Genomic DNA, 21,833 nt, shown 5'->3' on the forward strand with positions numbered 1-21,833 from the left:
AAGGTCTCACAGATCATTGAGGTTCTACTCATTTTCAAAAAACTTATTTCTTCTCTGTTACTCAGATAAGATAATTTATATTAGCTCTATCTTTAGATCACCTTACTAGTTTCTAGTGACTGCATTTTCTCTTGATTGTGCACATGTTTTTTTCCTATTTCTTCTCATGTCCAGTTATTTTACTATTACTGATTGTGTAGGATACCATGTATTAAGTCTGAATCATGTCCTCTTCCTTTAAAAGGTGTTAAGTTCTCTTCTGGCGGTCAGTTACATTATTGGTAGATCCTTGTAGTTTGCCAGGATTGGTATAATTCTCACTTAGAGCAAGTCTGTTTCAGTTTTGAATTTAGTTTTAGGATATACCCCCTGCCTCTGGGGCTTAGTCTTATAAGAACAGCCTTTTGAGTTCTGAGGCACTCAGTAAGGTCTCTTCACCCAGGTGTGGTTGAATTTCTAACGTGTTTCAACATTGCATAGCATCTGGTATCACTCACTATCTATCTCCTGCTGCTGTAGCAGGTGACCTTTGTAGGACTCACCGTATCTTACCTCGTGCATGTGCTACCCAGTCTTTGGCGAAGGACCTGTAGTGAATGCTCATGCCCATATGTAAAGTCTCTCCTTTTCATAGTTCCTTCTGAAAGAAGGAACTCTGGGAACACCAGTCTCAGAATGTAGATTCATTATCTTGGTGTCCTGCTATCAAATCTCACGGGACGGTAACACTGTGTATGTGTTTAGTGCATAGCATTTGGTTTACTGAGATACTGACGTGGTTGTGATGGTGTGTATTTTCCAAATAAAAATTCCCTCTTTAAAGAAAACACGGCTGGGTGCGGTGGCTCATGCCTGTAATCCCAGCACTTTGGGAGTCTGAGGTGGGTGGATCACGAGGTCAGGAGTTCGAGACCAGCCTGGCCAAGATGGTGAAACCCTGTCTCTACTAAAATTACAAAAATTAGCCAGGCGCAGTGGCAGGTGCCTGTAATCCCAGCTACTTGGAAGGCTGAGGCAGGAGAATCGCTTGAACCTGGGAGGCAGAGGTTGCAGTGAGCCGAGATCGCGCCACTGCACTCCAGCCTGGGTGACAGAGCAAGACTCCATCTTAAAAAAAAAAAAAAGAAAGAAAGAAAGAAAGAAAACACTTTAGGGTTAGAATGACCAGAAATCCAATATTGATAAAACTTAAATAATTCTGTCTAGATCAATTAAAATCATTGAGTCTCCTTATGAATGGAAGAAATCTTTGAAAATTTTAAAATTCTAAAATCTTTTTTTCAATTTTGCCTTCTCTGGATTTCCCTAATGTTCCCCTCCCATAATCCTTTTTATTCTTATATTCCGACATGCTTTTAAGTAGTACTACAAAGAGGATAAGCTAACAGAAGCTGAGATAAATTTTATTTTTATTTTAAACAGAAGAAAGGAAAAAGGGGTTACATTTTTATAAATATCTATAAATATAGAAGGATAGGCAAACTTCCAAATAAATAAATAAATACTGCCACATGACGAGGGATATAAGAAATTGTAGGAGCTATTTTGGCTTTGCCATAAAGAAAACCCCTGATGGTAGTGTTGAGTTTGTGAGATTACAACTAGTTTTCCACCAAAATCCTTTTGGGATCTTTCACTGAGGAGCCTCCAATAGCTATTATGCAGGATAATATTTCCAACAGGAAATGAAAACAGAAATATTAAAATATTTGCCATGCATGGCTATATACTATTATACATAGTTTTACTGTTTCAGAATAGGAACCAGTCCTTCAAGTTCAGCTTAAAACCATCAGGTAAAAACAGTTGCCCAACATTTCTCTCATAACCAAAAAGAATAGATCAAAGTATAAGGTTAGTATGTGATGGCAGTGAGAAAAAAAAAAGTGACTGGGAAGAAGCTGTTGTTGAATCGACTTTGCTTGTTAATATACTGTCCTTTAGGTGGTCATTTAAAGAGAGGGAGGAAAATGGAGCCCCCTTACAGGAAGAACCGCAGTAATGGGGTAAGGCTTCATTTAATGCACCAAGAATTTCCAAGGGGATTGAGACCCAGATGTGTCAGCCTAGGAGAGTTTTAACTAATCGAAGAGCCACTGCTGCTGCAGAGCCCTAGAGACCACAGACAAGAGCCTGACCATGTGGTTGTCTTTTCATAACTTCTATAACATGTCCCCTGATTTCTTTCCCCCTGAGTCCTTGATGCCACTTCATTTAGAGAAAAGGACACGATTTTTCAGTCCACAGAAAACCTAACCCAGAGCAGTCCCAGTCTCTCAAAGCCCCCTTCCCAGTCACATTTTTGTAGTTTGTTCAGAATGGATTCCTACTCAACCTGGAAGTAGAGCCTTAATTAAATGCCTCTTAGGAGAGTTGGAATTTATTTCCATTTTGAAAAGCAAATTCTAGCAGGGCAGATTTTCGTGAGCCAGTGTAAAAGCTATTTATTCCTTAGACCAAATTTTCAAAAACCAGAGATGGGGCCAAAAGGTGAGGCTGTATCATGAACTGCTTGGGAACAGAGTGGGGCCATTCTGGGCCCTCTGGCTGTGGCTGCACAGAGGGAGACAGCGAGACAGAAGGTGCTCACCCTGTAGGGAGGCTGAGTTTTCTATTATGATTCCTGCCTCATTTCAGCAAGCATCAAGTCTAGCTGTCAAGTTTTCACCAGCCTACCACCAGTCTTTTGACAGCTCTTCCCCAGAGATGCTCAAGGAAGAACGAAGGCTTGAAAGTAGTGTTTTCATCAACTTGCCCCATTCAGCTGTTAATGTCAAGGTTTGCACACTCAAATGCCAGTGGGATCGGGGCATCTAACATAAATGCATAGGGCAGTGGAGAAGCTTCTGGGATCTCCGATTTCCTCTTCCCTACACCTTCAAAGTCTTGAGCTCAGGAACCCACTGCTTTTTTTTTTTTTTTTTTTTTTTTTTTTTTTTATGCTTAAAAGTGATAAAGAGGAGAGGCACAAGGAAGAGAAATATGTTGGGAGAGACCCCTTCTCTCTACCTTCATGAAGGGGAAATTTCTAGTTTACCTGTTGGGGTTTCCTATTGGGAAAGGTGTTCTATATGGAGTGAGGAAGGCGGTGAAACCCCATGACTTGGGCCTCAAAGGTTGGTTCTCACAGGACCTCCTGTGGAAGGGACCCCAGAGAAGCAGCAAATTCCATACATGCCCCTGTCACCTTTCCCATCCTCGGAACGTCAAGGGACCTGGTCCTTGGGAAGAGCTGCGTTTGCTGAGGGATGGGTTAAAGAGGGTGCCCTTCCAGCGACCCTAGATGAACTTGGCGAAGGGGCGGCAGCCTTCCGGGCCCGTTCCCCCAGCGTGCGTGTTCACTCGACCGCCCCTGACCACCCCTAATGGGTCACTGGCCATCGGGCTGTTGTCCTCGGCGCTCGGGAGCTCCTGTGAACAGGAGGCCGGGGCCGGGGTCATCCGGGCCCGGGGCTTCAGCACGTTCAGGGGGTCCCGCTCCGAGTCGTCCTCGGCGCTCCGGGTGTGCCGCCGTGGTATGGGGGTGTTGAAGTGAATTAGGGGGATCTCGTTCCTCCGGGACAGGAACTGGGAGTACGGGGGTGGGTTCATGCCTGGCAGGAAGGCTCTCTTCGCCCGGCCCAGACTGACCAGGAAGTGATACTGAGGAGAGTGGTAGACGTCGTACCCGTTTTCCAGCGTCTGGTGTTGGAACCTGCAGTTCTCCGGGTCGAAATAGTGCTGGAAGGACAAGAGCGAACCACGTGAAGGCTGGCAGTGGGGGCCCCACCCACTCCCCAGCTCCTCCTGGGGCCACATGCTTGTGCCAGCCGGCCTGAAGCTCTGCAGTTCTTAGGGCGTTGAGCCTTCACCCCTTTGTTCCCTGCTGGGGTAGAGTGGTTTTGATTAATGCTCAAGCCCTGACTATATAGTTCGCCCTTTCAGAGACTACGACTACTGGGGCCTCCGCTTACTGCCTGGAGGCCCGGGCTGGCCTGGCCTGTGGTTTTCCTGGAGTAGGCACCACCTTGTCCTTCCTGCCCTCTATCTTTTCCAAGCCTCTGCTGGCTGAAAATTGGCTTGGGTTTGTCTCTTTACTGGAGAAAGGAGAGGGGATGGAGTTTATAGGGTCAAACATGAATGAGAGCACTGACGGGATTGGAGACATGAACTTTGCTGACAGATGAGCTGGGTTTGAATCCTCTACCACTAGTACTGGGTTTTACTGAGTGCCCCACGAAGGCCTTTGCCTGTTATTTCTTTTAATCCTCAAGCTCCACAAAGTAAGCAGTTTACAGATCAGGACTATCTACATGCCTAGAGGGGTTAACGGATGTTTAGTTAGTTATCTATATTTCAATAGTGGTTCAACAGATTTTTTGTTTGTTTGTTTACCTACTCTAGCCAGACACTATTGTAGGGGCTGGGATGCAGCAGAAAGCAAAACAGAAAGTCTCTGTTCTTGTGGAGTTTCTAGTGGGCATGTGTGGTGGTCAGAGACTCCTGAGATAAGCAGTCCTACTATTTTACTATCTCAAAATCCTCCAAAAGAGGCCAGCAGCCTTTAGTTTGGGAAATCCTTTGCTTACCAATCCGAATGAATAGCTATCACAATTGGGGCAGGGGTTATTAATTAAAAATCTTTAACTGGAGGGAGCTCCACAGGTCACGTGGTCTATTCCACTTCGCTTTTTCCAAGTGAAAATGCTGAAGTTTGGAGAAGTGAGGAGATTTACCCAAAGTCACAGCTAGTCCCAGAATCAAGAAGACACCAATGGCTTTTCACCCTTTCTAATGTACTTTACAACGTGAATTGACATGACTTGAGGACCTACGACTACATACCAGGGCCTGTGCTAGATTCAAAAGTGGGTTCCACAACCCAAATGTCCAACAATGATAGACTGGATTAAGAAAATGTGGCACATATACACCATGGAATACTATGCAGCCATAAAAAATGATGAGTTCATGTCCTTTGTAGGGACATGGATGAAATTGGAAACCATCATTCTCAGTAAACTATCGCAAGAACAAAAAACCAAACACCGCATATTCTCACTCGTAGGTGGGAATTGAACAATGAGATCACATGGACACAGGAAGGGGAACATCACACTCTGGGGACTGTTGTGGGGTGGGGGGAGGGGGGAGGGATAGCATTGGGAGATATACCTAATGCTAGATGATGAGTTAGTGGGTGCAGCACACCAGCATGGCACATGTATACGTATGTAACTAACCTGCACAATGTGCACATGTACCCTAAAACTTAAAGTATAATAATAAAAAAAAAAAGTGGGTTCCAATGGGCAGTGCAGACTAGGGGCTGAGAGCCTGGGATCTGGAGCCAGATTGCCTGAGTTCAAACCCCAGCTATTAAACGTGAGCATTCACGTTTAATTCATACTTAGACTGCATGAAGTATCAGTGGAAACAGGTCACCAGGGTACACTGCAAATGGAATTGTTAAGCTAGAAAAGTCTATGTCGTGTCAAAGAAATTAGGTTAATTGTTTGCAAATGGTGACCAACACAAAAAAGAAACTCACTGATCCAAAAATGTTGCCTCTGAAATCCATGCAGAGGTATCTTCTGCTCATCACACCTGTAATCACCACAAAGCCAGCATCCTCTGATCTGATCATCAGGGCACCTATGGAGAAAAACAGGCAGGGCAAAGACTCATTGCCATCCAATTCCCACCTTCAAGCACCTCCTGAAAACCTACCTTCATGAAACCTCCCTGGATTGATTTTAAGGGTGGTGATAACTTCAGCACTCTTAAATTCAGCCTCATTTCTGCATATTCAGCGTTTCTTCTGACATCCTCTCTTGCCCCCAACACACATACAGTCATTCACCTCCTGCTTCATCTTGTTGCCTGTATGGGGCACTCTGAGCTCCTGGAATTCTTCTACCTGTGCTGAACACATGTTTCTCTCTCTCTACCTGGACCGTCTTTATTTTCCCTTTTGCCTTACTAATACCTTTGAATGTTTGTGGTGATAGTCACATTCTTCCATGCCTTCTACTTTGTGATTTTTAAATCTATGCTGAGATGTCTTTCAAGGATCCAGCTTGCCATAGAGTCTGATTCTCCTCCTGGATGTCTGTGTAATTGTCTAATACATCAGTCAACACCCAGTATGTGTACAGAATGGTAGTAGAGTTGATCTCCCTCTTCCTTCTCTACTTATTGAAGTCACTCACTCTTCAAGACCAGGCTCAGGCGTCACCATCTCTATGAAGACTTTCCTCATCTTTCCATTCAAAATCAGTTGTTCTTCCTTCTCAGCTCCTCAGGACAATGCCTTCACCTCTATTACAGCATGTATTCCATTTAACTTGCTTTAGCTGAGTTTACCTATCCAGTGCGTTCCTTAGAGTGAGCTGCTTAGGAGCAGAGGGTATAACTGTTTATGTTGAATCAATATAAGTGACGGATGGAATTTTCTTCTTGGCTCTTCTTGGGTTGGTTCTTTGTCATTTTCTCACTTGGTGGTGACCTCTCCAGGTGCAGCCCCTCATGGACTTTCAGTGTCCCCTCTCAAAAACTAGTCTCCGACAAGGGCCTGAAACCCATTCACACGACCTACCTCTTAAGTAATTGATAATGGCTTTAAATTACTGTTTTGTGGCAAAGGCACAATTAGATCATATACTGGTGTAACATGCGTGATAATTCAGCGAGATTTCTTCCCCACATGTTATTTAATTACCTGACATTTTCTGTTAAAAATCATTACTTTAGGTCTTTGGGGCTACTTCCAGTTGCCTATCACAGAATTTCTAGGTGCATCTCATCTGACCTCATAGCCTCCAGGGAGGCAGCTAGAATCCCATGCAGGGATTCTAATTCCTCTTCTGCAACTGTAGCTTGGAGAGGTTGTAAATGCCCAATGTTTGTGCCTAGCAAGTGATGGAGCCTTGTGGGGGTGATTTAAAGGCCAAAGCTCTTCTCCTATCCCATGCAGGCTCAATACAAGGACCTTTGAGGAAAATAAGCAGCAATAATTAGGTACTAGCTGAGTAGAAATCATGATAGGGACTGAAATTGGACTGACGCGGAACAGAGGGAATGAGGGTGGAGACAAGCCCCAGAAAGGTGAGAAAGGAAGAGGGCCAAAGAGAGAAGTTAATTTGTTTCAAAGTTTGGCTGAGGGGAACCTTGAGGAAAGCTTCCCAGAAAGTGGACTGGGGTATGACAGGCGCAAAGGATGCTTAAATTCCTCCACAGTGGTGTCTGCCTATGTGTCTCAAATGTATGGCTAGTTTTGTGGTAAACCTTTGGAGAAATATAAGGAACGTGTAAGAAATGGTTTCGACTGGGTGCGGTGGCTCATGCCTGTAATCCCAGCACTCTGGGAGGCTGAGGCGGGTGGATCATGAGGTCAGGAGATCAAGACCATCCTGGCTAACACGGTGAAACCTCTTCTCTACTAAAATACAAAAAAAATTAGCCAGGTGTGTTGGTGGGCACCTGTAGTCCCAGCTACTCGGGAGGCTGAGGCAGGAGAATGGCATGAACCTGGGAGGCGGAGCTAGCAGTAAGCCGAGATTGCACCACTGCACTCCAGCCTGGGCGACAGAGCGAGACTCCGTCTCAAAAAAAAAAAAAAAGAAATGGTTTCTGTTCTGGTGACTTTTCAGTCTAATTGGGAAAAAATTACATTTAGTAATGGTCTTTGAGCGGTTGCACTCTAAGCACTTTACATATTTTAAATTCTCAAAACAAATTTTATATTGTTAGTACTGATTATTATTATTATTAGTAGTAGTAGTAGCAGCAATATCCTAATTTAAGTGATAAGGAAACTAAGACAGGATTGAAACTCAGGTCAGAGACATCTTCCCACCACCCGGTAACAAGCCTCCAGCAGAAATCACTAAGAGTCTGAGAAGACAATATCAAATGCTAAAATACATGCTGCAGGCAGTGAGGACAAGGAGTCACAGCAGCACTAAGGGCTCGGGGAAGGGGCACTGAGCCAGGTGCCAAGAACCAGGGGACTTGGATTTTGGTCCCAATTGTGCCACTTGCTGACCTTGCACTAGCCTCAGTTTCCTCAGCTGTGAAATAGAACAATGGCTGTCCTGCCTACTTCATAGGGTGATGATCGAAGGGGATAATGGTGGTAAAAGTGACTCGAAAGTGTCGAGCAAACAGAGGACATCACGTGGCGTGTTCTGACCTGCTGTTTATGCCGGGCCCATGCCTTGACAGGTGTGCTGGCTTGATGCTTGGGGTCAGTGTGGGCAGTGTGTATGGCACACACGCTCCTGGTTTCCAGAGCCAGTCCCCCTAGAAAACATCCGGCGGTGGTTGAGGAACTGTGAGAAGCTGCTACGGAGGGCACACAGACTCTTCCATCAAACAGTGTGAGCCAATGTGAAAGTTTAGAAAATGTGAGAGAGTCAGAGTTTCTTTCCTTTGTGCTTTCAAAAGGCATCTTTTCGCAGTCTGCACAGATTCAAGGGAGAATTTTGCAGAAGGAAGGAACAAACCATGGACTGCCGGAGCAACCAGCCCCGCCTGTTGGAGCTGAGCAGGCTTAATGGACTTTGCCTTCAATGACGGAGGTGTCTCCGTGCGTGTGACCTTGGAACAGCTTGGGATTTGGGGTCAAGGTGTCCTCTAGGTCTTTTACTACCTGTCTGACCTTCAGCCAGTTATTTAAGTTCTTTAACTCTTGTTTTTTCACATATAAAATGAGGACAGCAGAAACATTTACCTCATTTGGTCATCTTGAAGACATAATGAGATAATGTTTTTATCCTTTAGAAAGCACTTCCTAAGTGCTAGTAATTTTTACTATTACCACTTTGCTTCAACCTCTGCTTATAGAAGTAGAAAATTATCTACTCCATTCTACTCTTGTGGCCAGTAAGTGATAAATAAGATGATAGCAGTGAAGTGCTTTGAGCACCTCAAAAGAAAAACGTATGAAAAAGGCTGAAGGAGCTCAGCGGTAATTCAGCTTCAATAAAGATAGTTCCTATGGGGAAGATGGAGGAAGTGAAAATAGCAGGATCTAGGAAATGATATTACCAGGGACAATAAGCATCTCTCTCTTGCTGTTTCCATATAATAAGGATAAAGGGGAGTCAGAGGATGGCCTTGTTCATGGAACGGGTGATAAGGACACCAGAGGGGTACCTGGCAGCAGCGCTTGTGAGTCCTAAGGGAGCTTGAAGAATCTGGTAGGCAGGAGATAACTTCATTTTGTCAAGTCCAGTGACCCAAAGATGGGTTGTGCACTCAACTCTTAAGAATTTCTTACAGCAAAGTAATAAGATAAACCAGAATTCAATAGAAATGGATAATTAGGAGGGGAAAAAATACCCCTCACATTTTAGGTTTCCATCAGTGTAAAAACATTGCTTAACAGTCACTGATGAGGTCATTACAAATCCTTCACCAGACATTTAATTAGTTGTGCTTCTTATCTACATGCATTAATCTTTCCTCTTTCTTTTGGGTAACGTTTTTTTTTTGAGACGGAGTCTCACTCTGTCACCCAGGCTGGAGCACAGTGGTGCGATCTCAGCTCACTGCAAGCTCCACCTCTGGGGTACAAGCGATTCTTCTGCCTCAGCCTCCCAAGTAGCTGTGACTACAGGCAGGCACCACACCCCACTAATTTTTGTATTTTTAGTAGAGACAGGGTTTCCCCATGTTGGCCAGACTGGTCTCGAACCCCTGACTTCAAGTGATCCTCCCACCTCGGCCTCCCAAAGTGCTGAGATTATACGCGTGAGCCACCGCATCTGGCCTCTTTTGGGTAACTTTTAATTGTAGTGTGTAATTTTTTCCTGCACTTTTTTTTTCCCATAATACACATGACAACTCATTGAACAGTACAAAAAGTTATCTACATAGACTAGGAAAAGTAGATCTCCCTCCCACTACCCTGACCCGAAGTTCCCCTCCCCGCATTCATGTTTAACTCTTTAAAGATGCAATGTTTAGCTAGTGCCTATGTCTAAGGAAACAAAATCACATTTCTATTTTTAAAAATCTGAAGTCAGTTCAATTTATTTTGCTGCTTCTCAGTCATTTTAATTCACTCTAACTAGCACTCAGTGATCCCTTGGGGCCTGATACGAGGTGGGCTTTCAAGGAAAAGGTCTAAGTTCAGACTGCCAGCCCAGGAGGTTGACTCTTCACACTCACTCCCCACCGTAGCCGGCCTGTTCTGTTCTACCCTAATTCTTGTTCAGGAAGAAACGTCTTTAAGGAGTTCCTTTCAGCAACGGGATTCCAGGATTCGAGACAAGTTGTATAAACATTCTCTAGTTGGATGCAGCCCTTTCCATCTAAGAGAATCAAAATAATTTACCATAATCTACTATTCTGCATTTTAAATCACATATAGTCTTTTTTTTTTTTTTTTTTTTTTTTTTGAGATGGAGTCTCGCTCTGTCACCCAGGCTGGAGTGCAGTGGCGCAATCTCGGCTCACTGCAAGCTCTGCCTCCCGGGTTCACGCCATTCTCCTGCCTCAGCCTCCCAAGTAGCTGGGACTACAGGCGCCTGCCACCACGCCTGGCTAATTTTTTGTATTTTTAGTAGAGATGGGGTTTCACTGTGTTAGCCAGGATGGTCTCAATCTCCTGACCTCGTGATCTGCCTGCCTCGGCCTCCCAGAGTGCTGGGATTACAGGCGTGAGCCACCACACCTGGCCCACATATAGTCTTGAATTAGAGTAAGGGTGTCCCCTCCATGAGACATGCAAAATTGCATTTCCTGAAAGTCTGGTAGTGAGCTGGCTGACAAGGTAGGACGACAGACCATGAGGTCCTTGAAGGGTTGTGTCTTAGTTTTCAGCCACAGCGCTTGGTAGAATGCCAGGCACATGGTAGATCCTATTAAATATCCATTGAATAAAATGAACAACACTTCGGGTGCATCAAGTGTATCCAGATTTAATTGAAATTTTTGCCATGAGACTCAAACTTGGTTTCCAAGATGTTGACTCCTGAGTCTTACTATATTCTCTGGAGTTCTGGAACCTGTTTGGTATTCGGAGAGAACTTTCCTCTCTCCTTTTATCTCCTGTCAATATGCATTTAGTACTTGAAGAGGTTAAACTGTCAATTTCGCATGTTATATATCTTGCAACTTAATTTTGCATGTTGTATATCTTGCAACCAGGTTTAAGGACCTTTGGAGCCTAGAAGAATAAATGCCTCACACACAGCAAGGTCACAGCAAAAATAATTAATTTATTTATTACAACAATAAAGGGCAAATCATAATTCCTATGTTTTCTTTAGTTAGAGATTGTCTAACTAATTTTTCTTTCCTTTAATTTGAGCTATATTGGATCAGTTTGCATTTTTCTGTATGCTTTGAGGTGTTTTCTCACGTTTTCTTAAAATAGAAGATCCAGTCTTTTTCAATATCTATCCCTGCTTTCACCACATTACCCCTTATATAGGTGCACACAAAGGGACCCTCATTTGAATCATTGCTAATGGATTGATTATTGTGGATTGTGATCCAATTCTCCACAAACCTGATCTTTAAAAACATTCCAGTTGTCTCATGTTGCCAATAAGTTTCTAACTAGCTTGACTTGCTACTGACTGGACACCTTTCAGTTCCACAGAGAAGAATCACCAACTCATACTGGGTACCTGGGTACCTGGGTGTCTGAAACACCCATTAAACCTGTTGGATGGATGGATGGATGGATGGATGGATGGATGGATGGATGGATGGATGGATGCATGGACAAATGAATGGGTGGATGGGTTGTATACTTGGCCATTCTCACCAAGACAACATACATGGACAGTCTGTCTTTAATACATTTTTCCAAGAATTTTTATAAGGCCAGAGTTGGAAAGAGCCCCCAGATTTATCTATAACAATCTGGGTATGACCCAGGAATCTTTACAACCTCCCTAGTTAACCCAGTCCAAAGTCCATGAGCTGAAACTTAGTGTCTGTTGATCTGCCTGGCTTCTTTTTCTCTTAGACTCCTTGCCTTTCTTTCTGTACATTTTTTCAATCTTTTGACGGGGCAAAGGGAACATGGCTCCTACTGTGGGAAGGGTTTTAGTTGAAATAAAAATTATTCATATTGAGAAAAACCAGCAAATGCTAATTAGGAGAGTGACAGAATCTTCCCCTAAGTTTTAAATACACACGCACACACACACACACACAAACACACACACACACAAAGACAATAAGTGGTTCCTGGGCAGAAAGCTAGGAGGGTTGGATTAGCCCTCCAGTCTAGTCCCCAACCTCCCCAAGCCTCCTGTAGATGGACAACAAGGGTGCTCCCCTTCTTCCCAGCCTGAAGCCCTACTCACTGTAGATGGTCTGATGGGGTGCGCCATCCACATGGCCATTCTTGTGGATCTGCAGGTGGTAGCTGTTCCTGGCTGTGGCTGTGTACAGGTGGATCAGGCCACCCCAGCTGGAGCCGAGCAGTGGGGAGGCATTGGGATAGGCTCTGAGGACGCTCATGCTGCAGACGCTGCACAAGGCACAGACCCAGAGCCTGAGGCGGGCCCCCAACATCGTGCCCTGCTCTGAGTGGCTGGTGCTGAGATTGAAACCTGACACTCCTGTCGGGACTCTCCTGGCCCAGGCCTTACTGGCCTTTTCCTTCTCCCTTGCAAGTAGCTGGTGTGAGGATCCTAGACTGGATTCCCTCCTTTTTGCCGTCAGACTTTTAAAGGGTAGCAGTGTGACATCAAACAGGAAAAACTCCACTGTCCACATCCTCTGTGTTGTAATCAGCCCATTGAAAGAAAGTGCAAAGACCCCGGAGGCGCACGGAAGGCACGTCGGTTCCAGACACACACACCCCTCAATTTCAAGCCAACGCTCCAAAAAATGAATGACGTGTGGGCAAAAGTTATCTGCCACTCTGGGCTGTCTGTTGACCTGTCCCACTTCCATCAGGAAATGTGAAGGCAGCCAGCGGTTCCCAAAAAAAATCCAGCTTCAGTCAAGCAGTCAACCGACTCCTAGGCAATTAATCTCCTGTCGAGTTTACTTATTTTGGTTTTCTTTAAATTCCAATCAGCAAGTATGTATCCAGTGCTTAATCTGTGAGCAGGATTTGGTGGGTAGCTTGCAGGATATAGAGATACATGACACCATCAGGCAGATGGCATCCTCTAAGAACACCCACTTCATGAAAGATGGGAGCTAGGAGCAGGGGCACAAAAGCCAAAGTTGCCATTTTGGGAAGATTTTGAAATGGAAGAAAAAGAAGTAAGGCCTTGAGGTCAGTGAACATGCCAAGGTTCAGTTTCTCAGCTTCCTTAGTCTGGACTTCACTGAATATGCCAAGGTTCAATTTCTCAATTTCCCTAGTTTGGACTATCGAGGGCAACTAAACTAGTAGTCTCTCCAGTAGTAAGGAGACTCATTCAGAGACCTCATGGGGATTGGAACAGCTGCTGGCTGAGCACTGGGGATCCGAGCCTCAGGACAGGGTGTCCCCACATTTAGTGTCTGTACATGAGTGCTCAGCTTGGTGTTGGATGCCTGCCTGCAGATGCTGTTCACAGTGAGCCCTCTGGGAAGCTACACCTGATGTCGGGTGGAATAGTCCTGGCACATACAGTCTAAAGGGGAGCAAGCTACTGGAACACACACCCGAAAAAACACACAAGGAGTTTGCTATTCTTCCAGTTTCCCTGTACTGAGTATATGCCATGTACAGGCATCAAGCTAGACTCATGTACAGGTTGATATAGGAGACAGCAAGATGTGATTCCTATCTTGAGGAGCTCAAATCTAATGCAGGAGGCAGATAAAAATAAGTAACTATAATACAAAATGAGTGCAAGCTTACAGGTATAGACAGAAAGAGATGGCATTTGTTACCCTACATTTGTACAGTTTTTTTTTATAGTTTACAAAGCATTTTCACATCTATTAGCTTATTTGAACCTCACTGCCACTCTGTGAGATAGGCACTCCATGCATTATCAAGATTTTAATACTTTACATGAAGAAATGGAAATCTTAGTGTTTCCATGTCCAAAGGCACAAAGCAAATAAATGGTAGAGCCAGGACAAGGTCTTCTCCTTCCCTAGGCTGCTTCTCCAAAGAATCACAGCAAGAACTAACGCTCATGGAGAGCTTACTGTTCCACTTACTGCTCTAAGTGCTTTACTTGTAGTAACCCATTTCATCTTCAGAATAACTCTTTGAGGAGATGCTGTTATTTTCTTTATATAGATCAGGAAACTGATCTATGCACACAGTTTAAGTAACTTGCCTAGAGATAGAAAGGTAACATGTGGAAGAGGTTGGATTTGAATCCAGGTCTGGCCCCAAGACCTCCTAAGCACTTTTCAAGGTGTCCAAACCCATACAACATGTTAGAGCTAAAGCCATGAGAGCCAGGAGCTTGGTAAAAAAGTGCAGGTGGCAAAGCAGTCCTCTGTTATTCTCTAAAAACCCAGGCTTTTACCCAGGATGAATCTCTAGGACACATGGTGCTTGTCTCCCCAGGGTTGAGTGGAAGAAGTATGACATGAAATGTTTATATGTAAAACAGTCTTCTTTACTAATAGCCACAGAATGGATTATAAATATAATGCTACGTCTTAGCTAATTGAAGAAATAGCTAGCTTTCAGAATTGAGATGCAAATCACTTAGGAACATTTGCCCTGCATTTCTTATTCTGGTTGTGAAAGGTAAAGAGATGGGAAGTAATTATAAGGCAATCAGCAGCCATTGAGAACCTTCTCCATGTAAGAGATGAAAGGGAGGGTGTAGGACTACAAAGCAGGACTAACTCCTCTAGGGGCTCCCAGTGTAACTGAGCAGGGAACATCTTCGTTCAATACAAGGCACTGTGTGGGAGGAGCTTCATTACTAGGAGCAAATTAGTGAAGATGTGGTACTATATTTATAAACCATTCTGTGGCCATTACTAAAGAAGCCTGCTTTATACATAAACATTTAATGTCATACATCTTCCAAACAACCCTGGGGAGACAAGCACTATGTACCCTAGAGATTCACCCCGGGTAAAGACCTGGGTTTCCGAGAGAATCATGGAGGAGTGCTTTGCTGCCTGCACTTTTTTACCAAGCTCCTTCACAAAAAAGAAATGTTGACCAGGCGTGGTGGTTCATGCCTGTAATCCCAGCACTTTGGGGGGCCGAGGTGGGCAGATCACTTGAGGTCAGGAGTTCGAGACCAGCCTGGCCAACACGGTGAAACCCTGTCTAAACCCCGTTTAGTAGAAACCCTGTCTCTATTAAAAATACAAAAAAATTAGCTGGGCGTATTGTGTAATCTCAGCTACCTGGGAGGCTGAGGCAGGAGAATCACTTGAACTGGGAGGTGGAGATTGCAGTGAGTTGAGATTGCACCACTGCACTCCAGCCTGGATGACAGGGCGAGGATCTGTCACCAAAAAAAAAAAAAAAAAAGGTCATGGTGGGTAGATGCTGTGGTCAAGGAGGGCTTTGAGGGAAGGAGAGAACTGAGGGAGCTTTGTAGGATACACAGAGAAGGGTTTTCCCCAGCACCTGCCAAGCATGATGGAGAGGGAGCACAGGTGTCTTGGGATAAGTCCACAGCCATTCGGTCATTCCCCTAGCTCCTGGAGCGACTGGGGAAGGGGCTCCTCCGTGGCCACCTCAGCTTGTCTTATTAGGAAAGAGAGCCCTGTGCCAGCTTACCCAGGTCCAAAGCCTCCCCTCCAAGAAGAAGCCCTGTGTGCTTAGCATCTGGCTCTAATGGCAGAGTCCAGCCCAGAGGAGTAGACTTATTTTTAAGGAGGATGGGAGGAGAAGCAGCATTTCCCACTTAGAGAGAGTAAAGGAAGGCGCAAGAATCTCAGATTAATTCTCCCCATTTGAGATAGGGAAACACTGAGAGCGGAGATGAAGATTTGCCCATTGGAACACGGAGACAGCAGAATGTCCAGCTCCAGGCTGAACTCCCTACCAGTGGCTTCCAAATCTGGCTGCTCACTGGAATTACCTGTGGAGCTTTAAAGCCATAATTGCCCCAGGACTAATCTTAGACCTACTGAATCTGCAGGGGCAAAAGTCAGTTATTTGTACTTTATTCAAAGCCACCTGGGAGATTCTAATTCTCCACACCAGATGTGGCTGATACTAAAGTACTTATCAATAAACAGGCTTTGAGCGCCAACCACACATCAAGCACTGGAAATAGTACACAGAGACTAAGGCCCTCTTCAGTGGCAGGCTCAACTTTCCGTTCCCTTCTAGGATGTCCATCCTAACTGCAGGTCAAGATGTAAATGGGCCTTTCTAGGGAATTTAGTACTGAATGCTAAATCAGTACCTCGTGCTGACAAGTACCCTGTCCTTGAGTCCAGTGCATGGTCTCCTCTGAAGCTTCAGTGGGTAAGAGAAGGGAGAGGCCAGGACATGTCGGTTCCTGTCCTTTGCACCTAGAGGGCACTCCTCCGTCACAGTTCAGGTCCAAGGGTCTGGGAACCAGTGTGACCTTAGGAGCCCAAAGAGAAACACAGATAGATACCAGCTGTGAACAGGAAGCCCAGGGAGGAGGCCCTGGGTTTGTGCTGTTTGGACGTCACTGTCCTTGGTTCCCAGGTAGCTACCTGAATGCAGCAGATAGGCTGGTCCCATGGCAGGCAGGGAAACCTGTTGTCTCCAGCCTGGTTTGGAACCCACTTCTCTGGCATTAAGAGAATTTGCCCCGGGAGCTGTGTGGAAGCATCAAGTCTAGTCCCTGCATTTACGCTCATAGAATCAAGGCTCTTAGTATAGATAAGGGCCTATAAGAATCTGTATTCCGGCTGGGCGCAGTGGCTCATGCCTGTAATCCCAGCACTTTGGGAGGCTGAGGCGGGCAGATCACCTGAGGTCAGGAATTTGAGATCAGCCTGGGCAACATGGTGAAACCCTGTCTCTACAAAAATACAAAAATTAGCCGAGCATGAGTGCGTGCCTCTCGAGCGTGCTGCTCGAGAGGCTGAGGCAGGAGAATTGCTCGAACCTGGGAGGCAGAGGTTGCAGTGAGCTGAGATTGCACCACTGCACTCCATCCTGGGTGACAGAATAAGACCCTGTCAAAAAAAAAAAAAAAAGTATTCCTGCAAGTTCATTACTTTCCTTCATCTCCTGACTTCTTTTTATCAGCATCTGCTCTGAGAAGGTACTGAAGAAGATTCTCACCCAGATCATGTTCACTCAAAGTAAAGACTGGGCAATAATTTTCAAACAATAACATCAACTTCATTGTCCTTAGCTATGATGAAAAAATGTCAGAGGAATCAAGGTAAAAAAAAAAGCTGGGAGATAGGAGAGAAGGTGATCTCACGGTGGCTTGCAGCCTTCTTTTCTTTTTGAGATCCTGGAAGGACCTGGCAGGCCTCTGCTCCCTGTCCCTTCACTCCTCCTGAGTCTGTCTCCACCATTTCAGTAACGGTGTCCCTGCCCTCTTGCTTTCTCAGAGCATTACATGTCGTCCAGACCTCCAGCGTTCAGGGAGATGGATATCTAAGCCATCTAGAACAAAAATTTTTTTTTTTTGGCTTCTTGAAGTTCTCTGGAGAGGTGCCATTCCTGTATCTCATCTGAAAATGTCATCCCAGTGTCATCTTGACAGCAAAAATGTGCTTCCCTATAGCCAATCTGATTCTCTCTTGCTTTAATGCATCCAAGCAATCAACACATAACTTTTTATGGAAAGCCTGTTATATGGCTACTACCTTGTAGAAAATCTTTAGAGAAGTCTGAGAATGAAAAGGTACAGTCCTGATCTTCAGGGAATTTGCAATCTACTAGGCAGAATATTCTTTGTATTTGTCTAGCACTTCACAGCCCATAAAGTACACTCATATCTATTGTCTCTTCTGAGGCTCAAAACAGTCCTATGGGCAGGTCTGGGGGGTGTCGGGGACGACTTTCCCAAGAGCATCCTGGCTCCTGATACACACATTCTGTTATCGTAGGAATTTAAAGAAAAGAGAGAAAAAAAACATGACTTTAAAAAATCTGTTTTTATTAAAAAGTAGATCAATGCAGAAATGTATGAAGTAGAAAGTGAATATACAATATAGTTTGTAACCTCTAGAGGTAAAATGTTATCAAAGACAAATTATAGCTTTAGGGCATATATATAAAATATATATTATATTTAATATAATAAAATACATTAATATATTGCCAATAATACATGTTAATAAAATATATAATGTATTAATAAATATTTAATAAAATATGTATATATTTATATTTATGTATTTCTAAATAGGTACATATTTAACATTATATATTAATACTAAAGTGTATATTATATATAAGTATATATATTTAAATATGCACTTTTATTTTAAAATTTAAAAAAAATTTTGCATCTATCAGCCAGAAAAATACGCACTTTTAAAAGACAAAATTGAGGGCATACCGTATATAATATATACCCACTTTGTCCGCTGAAGTCTATTTTGACCACCTTTCCAGGTCAGTATGCATATCTTTACCTCATTCTTTTAAATTATTCCATTCCATTGTATTTGAAAGTGGTCAGCTCTTCTGAAAGCTTCATTTCCTTCCAAGCTCTGCCCCAGAGGCTTTTGTGGTGGTTCCCAAGGCCACAGGACTTTATGTTTACATGTATGTGTATATACACATACACACCCATTATATACATGTGCATACATACATATAAACAGATACATACACACATATACATATAATAATGGCCCTGCATGGGATGGCACTGGTGGCTGGGGTTACCGCAGTTCTCTGCCACATCAAGAACTTACCCCCTTTTAGTCTAGAACCAATACCTCCCATAGAATCAGTCTCCAGTTCCCTTCTTTCCCTCCAAATGACATGTTCAATTTCTCCTCCCCAAGACAAAATTTCCAGCTTATTTTTGTCATGGCAGCCTTTCCAAAATAAAGGCCCACGGGAGGGCTTGTCTTCAGGGCAGCCTTCTCCAATGGGCAAGGAAGCCTGGAATTCCAGCAGCGGGGGGACATCAAGGCTTGGAAAGGGGTTTGAATCCACAGAAGATGTAGCGGTGCTTCTCCACGGTTCAGCTGTGATAGTTTTCACTTCTGCCACTATGGCCAATAAATCTCCACACTTGCAGTGATCTCATAAAGACCACACTTGTTAATTTATAAATATGGCCACTGATAGCTGGTAATGACTGCTGATGACAAGGTGACAAGGATGGGCATAGAAGTGCTATTTACCGAAGCCTTTGGAAAATAAGCTACGATTTTCAAACGTGTAATATAAAATTTGCAACCTATTTTGAACTTAATACAGAGCATAAAGTTTTTATAAGAATAGGAAATGTTTGAGGGTATTTAAATATGCATATCTGAGTGTTTATTTATTTAGAAGTTTAAAGTCGTTCAAAAGTATAAAACAGCTATGCTGAGTATCAGAATTCTGAAGAACATTAGAAGAGAGAGGGTAACTGAAAAGAAACTGATGCAAAAACCATGCAAAAAGAATGGCTGCATAAAAAAGAATGAATTCATGTCCGTTGCAGCATCATGGATGCAGCTGGAGGCCATTATCCTAAGCAAACTAATGCAGAAACAGAAAACCAAAGACCACATGTTCTCACTTATAAGTGGGAGCTAGACATTGGGTATGCATGGACATAGAGATGGGAACAACAGACACTGGGAACTACTAGTAGGGGAGGGTAGGAGGGAGGAAAGGCCTGAAAAACTACCTATTGAGTACTATGCTCACTACGTGGGTGATGGGTTTAATCATTCCCCAGACCTCAGCATCACATAATATGACCTTGTAACAAACTTGCACACGAACCCCCGATTCTAAAATAAAAGTTGAAAAAAAAGTTGGGGGGAATGCCTGGAAACCAGCAGAAACAGAGAAACCAAAGGGCTAATCAACAGCAGGTGCAGATGAGAGAAGCCAGCCAGGAGCTAATTACGTTAGCCAATGACATAATTACAGGCAAGAGCATCACTGGCAAGTGCTGTGCACAGTGAGTGTGGCCCTGTAAGATGTTAGGGGCTGTAGCTGAATACAGCTGATACACTATAGGCTGTCATTCATGGGTAGTTAGTTGTCACTTCGTCCACTGCCTGAGACAGCTGCACAACAGGAGAACTGAGCACAGGGAGGGCACACAAAGTCAAGGACTGGGGCACAGGGATGTTTGGAGCAGTGGCACGCTTCTGTACGATGCTGTGGGTACATGGCACTATGCATTTGTCAAAACCCGTAGAACTGTACGACACAAAGAGTAGACCCTAATGCAAACGGTGGACGTTAGTTAATAATAATGCTTCAATAGTGTTTCATCAGTGATAACAAATGCACCACACTGATGCAAGATGTTAATAGGGGAAATTGTGTGCAGAGTAGGGAGAAGGAATATATGGGACCTCACACTTTCTGCTTAACTTTTCTTTTTTTTTTTTTGTATTTTATTTATCTTTTTTTTATTTTATTTATTTATTTATTTTTTATTATTATACTTTAAGTTTTAGGGTACATGTGCACATTGTGCAGGTTAGTTACATATGTATACATGTGCCATGCTGGTGCGCTGCACCCACTAACTCGTCATCTAGCATTAGGTATATCTCCCAATGCTTACCTTTTCTGTAAACCAGTAACTGCTCTGAAAAATAAAGTCTATCAAAAAAATGAGAGCAAAATTCAGCAAAATGGTGAGCAAAATGAGCAAAATGGTGTTTGATCAATAGGTGTTCAACATTTCATCGCTGCCTGGAATTATTCATTCCAGGATCAGATCCGTGAGATGTGCTGAAACAGCATATATTTCACTGTGCACAGCCAGTTACCTTTCAGTCCTTTAAAACAAGACAAAAGAAAATTTCTCACCCATCCATGTCACGTGGGTTAGCTCCTCCACATGATCTACCCGCCTCAGCCTCCCAGAGTGCTGGGATTACAGGTGTGTGCCACCGCACCCTTTTAATTAATTGATTTTATATAATTAAAACTAATGGAAAAATTAAAAATAAGTCATTAAAAGTAATGGCAAAAAGTTTTTTTTTTTTAGATCTGTATATGCAGCCTTAGGCAAGTGACTCCCTCTTGCACTTGCTCTCCCAGCTTTGAATTGGGGAGGTGGGACATGTGGATGAAATCATCTGTGAAGCTCCTCTCAGCTGCTGCAGTCTGGAGGTAGGATGCTGTCTCATCATCCAGCTTCCCCAAACTGTTTGCTTTATCACCTGCTACACTTGATCATCTACACGGGAGTTACCCACCTTGTCCATGATGACTGGAAGTGTTTACATTCCCTGCTGGGAGATTTGTTTCTCTCTCTCTGCTTTGCTTAAAATGTCCACACTGGATTAGGGATAAACTTAAGGAAGGCATATTCCTTTAATCTAATATATATTATTAGATTATATATTTTTATAATGTAACATTACAGGTACCTATAATAGCGCAACAGATTTCCTCAATAGCAAATCTAAATATGTAAGTAGAACCTTCACCCTACTTCCCTATAGGAAATACACATGGCTTCTGTAATATTATGAAATCCATGGTCTTGCTCTCTCAACTTTGGTGCCCATAACCAGAAGCTCATTTTGCCAGGACAAAAAGAGGTTAAAGCACCTCAGGTGCCCTCAGCTGGGGAATCCTAGAAAACTGAAGGTTATAGCAGAACTTGAGAGCAAAGGCCATTGAAGTCCAGGCCATTGATCAATAGCTGCAGCCTCAACTCCCTTTTCCTTCCCTCTCAACCCCTCACCCCCTCACCCCCTCCTCTTTTCCGCCAACACACTCTTTTTCCTGGAAACCCTCTCCTGGCCTCCACTGCTACAGCCTGTGGGAGATAAGACATGTGTCCCACGGGTGGGGGAGGCCAAGCCTGTGTGAG

At 43.8% G+C, this 21,833-nt stretch overlaps 1 protein-coding gene across 1 annotated transcript, besides 1 other annotated feature; it reads right to left on the reverse strand.

The window, feature by feature from the left end:
• FGF23 (fibroblast growth factor 23) lies at nucleotides 1,164–12,649 on the reverse strand. The gene is made up of 3 exons (NM_020638.3): nucleotides 12,309–12,649; nucleotides 5,531–5,634; nucleotides 1,164–3,720 (listed from the first exon to the last, which is right to left on the reverse strand). The coding sequence occupies exons 1-3, from the start codon at nucleotides 12,517–12,519 to the stop codon at nucleotides 3,280–3,282; spliced, it is 756 nt and encodes a 251-aa protein (NP_065689.1). The 5' UTR covers nucleotides 12,520–12,649; the 3' UTR covers nucleotides 1,164–3,279.
• Nucleotides 21,020–21,314: a silencer, noted in NCBI's record as "tiled region #12719; HepG2 Repressive non-DNase unmatched - State 22:ReprW, and K562 Repressive DNase matched - State 7:EnhWF". NCBI's record gives its function as "represses a minimal TATA promoter and a strong SV40 promoter by Sharpr-MPRA in HepG2 and K562 cells {active_cell/tissue: HepG2 | K562}" and the evidence as "EXISTENCE:reporter gene assay evidence [ECO:0000049][PMID:27701403]".

Source organism: Homo sapiens, chromosome 12 (genome assembly GCF_000001405.40).
Source record: "Homo sapiens chromosome 12, GRCh38.p14 Primary Assembly".
Taxonomy (NCBI): Eukaryota; Metazoa; Chordata; class Mammalia; order Primates; family Hominidae; genus Homo; species Homo sapiens.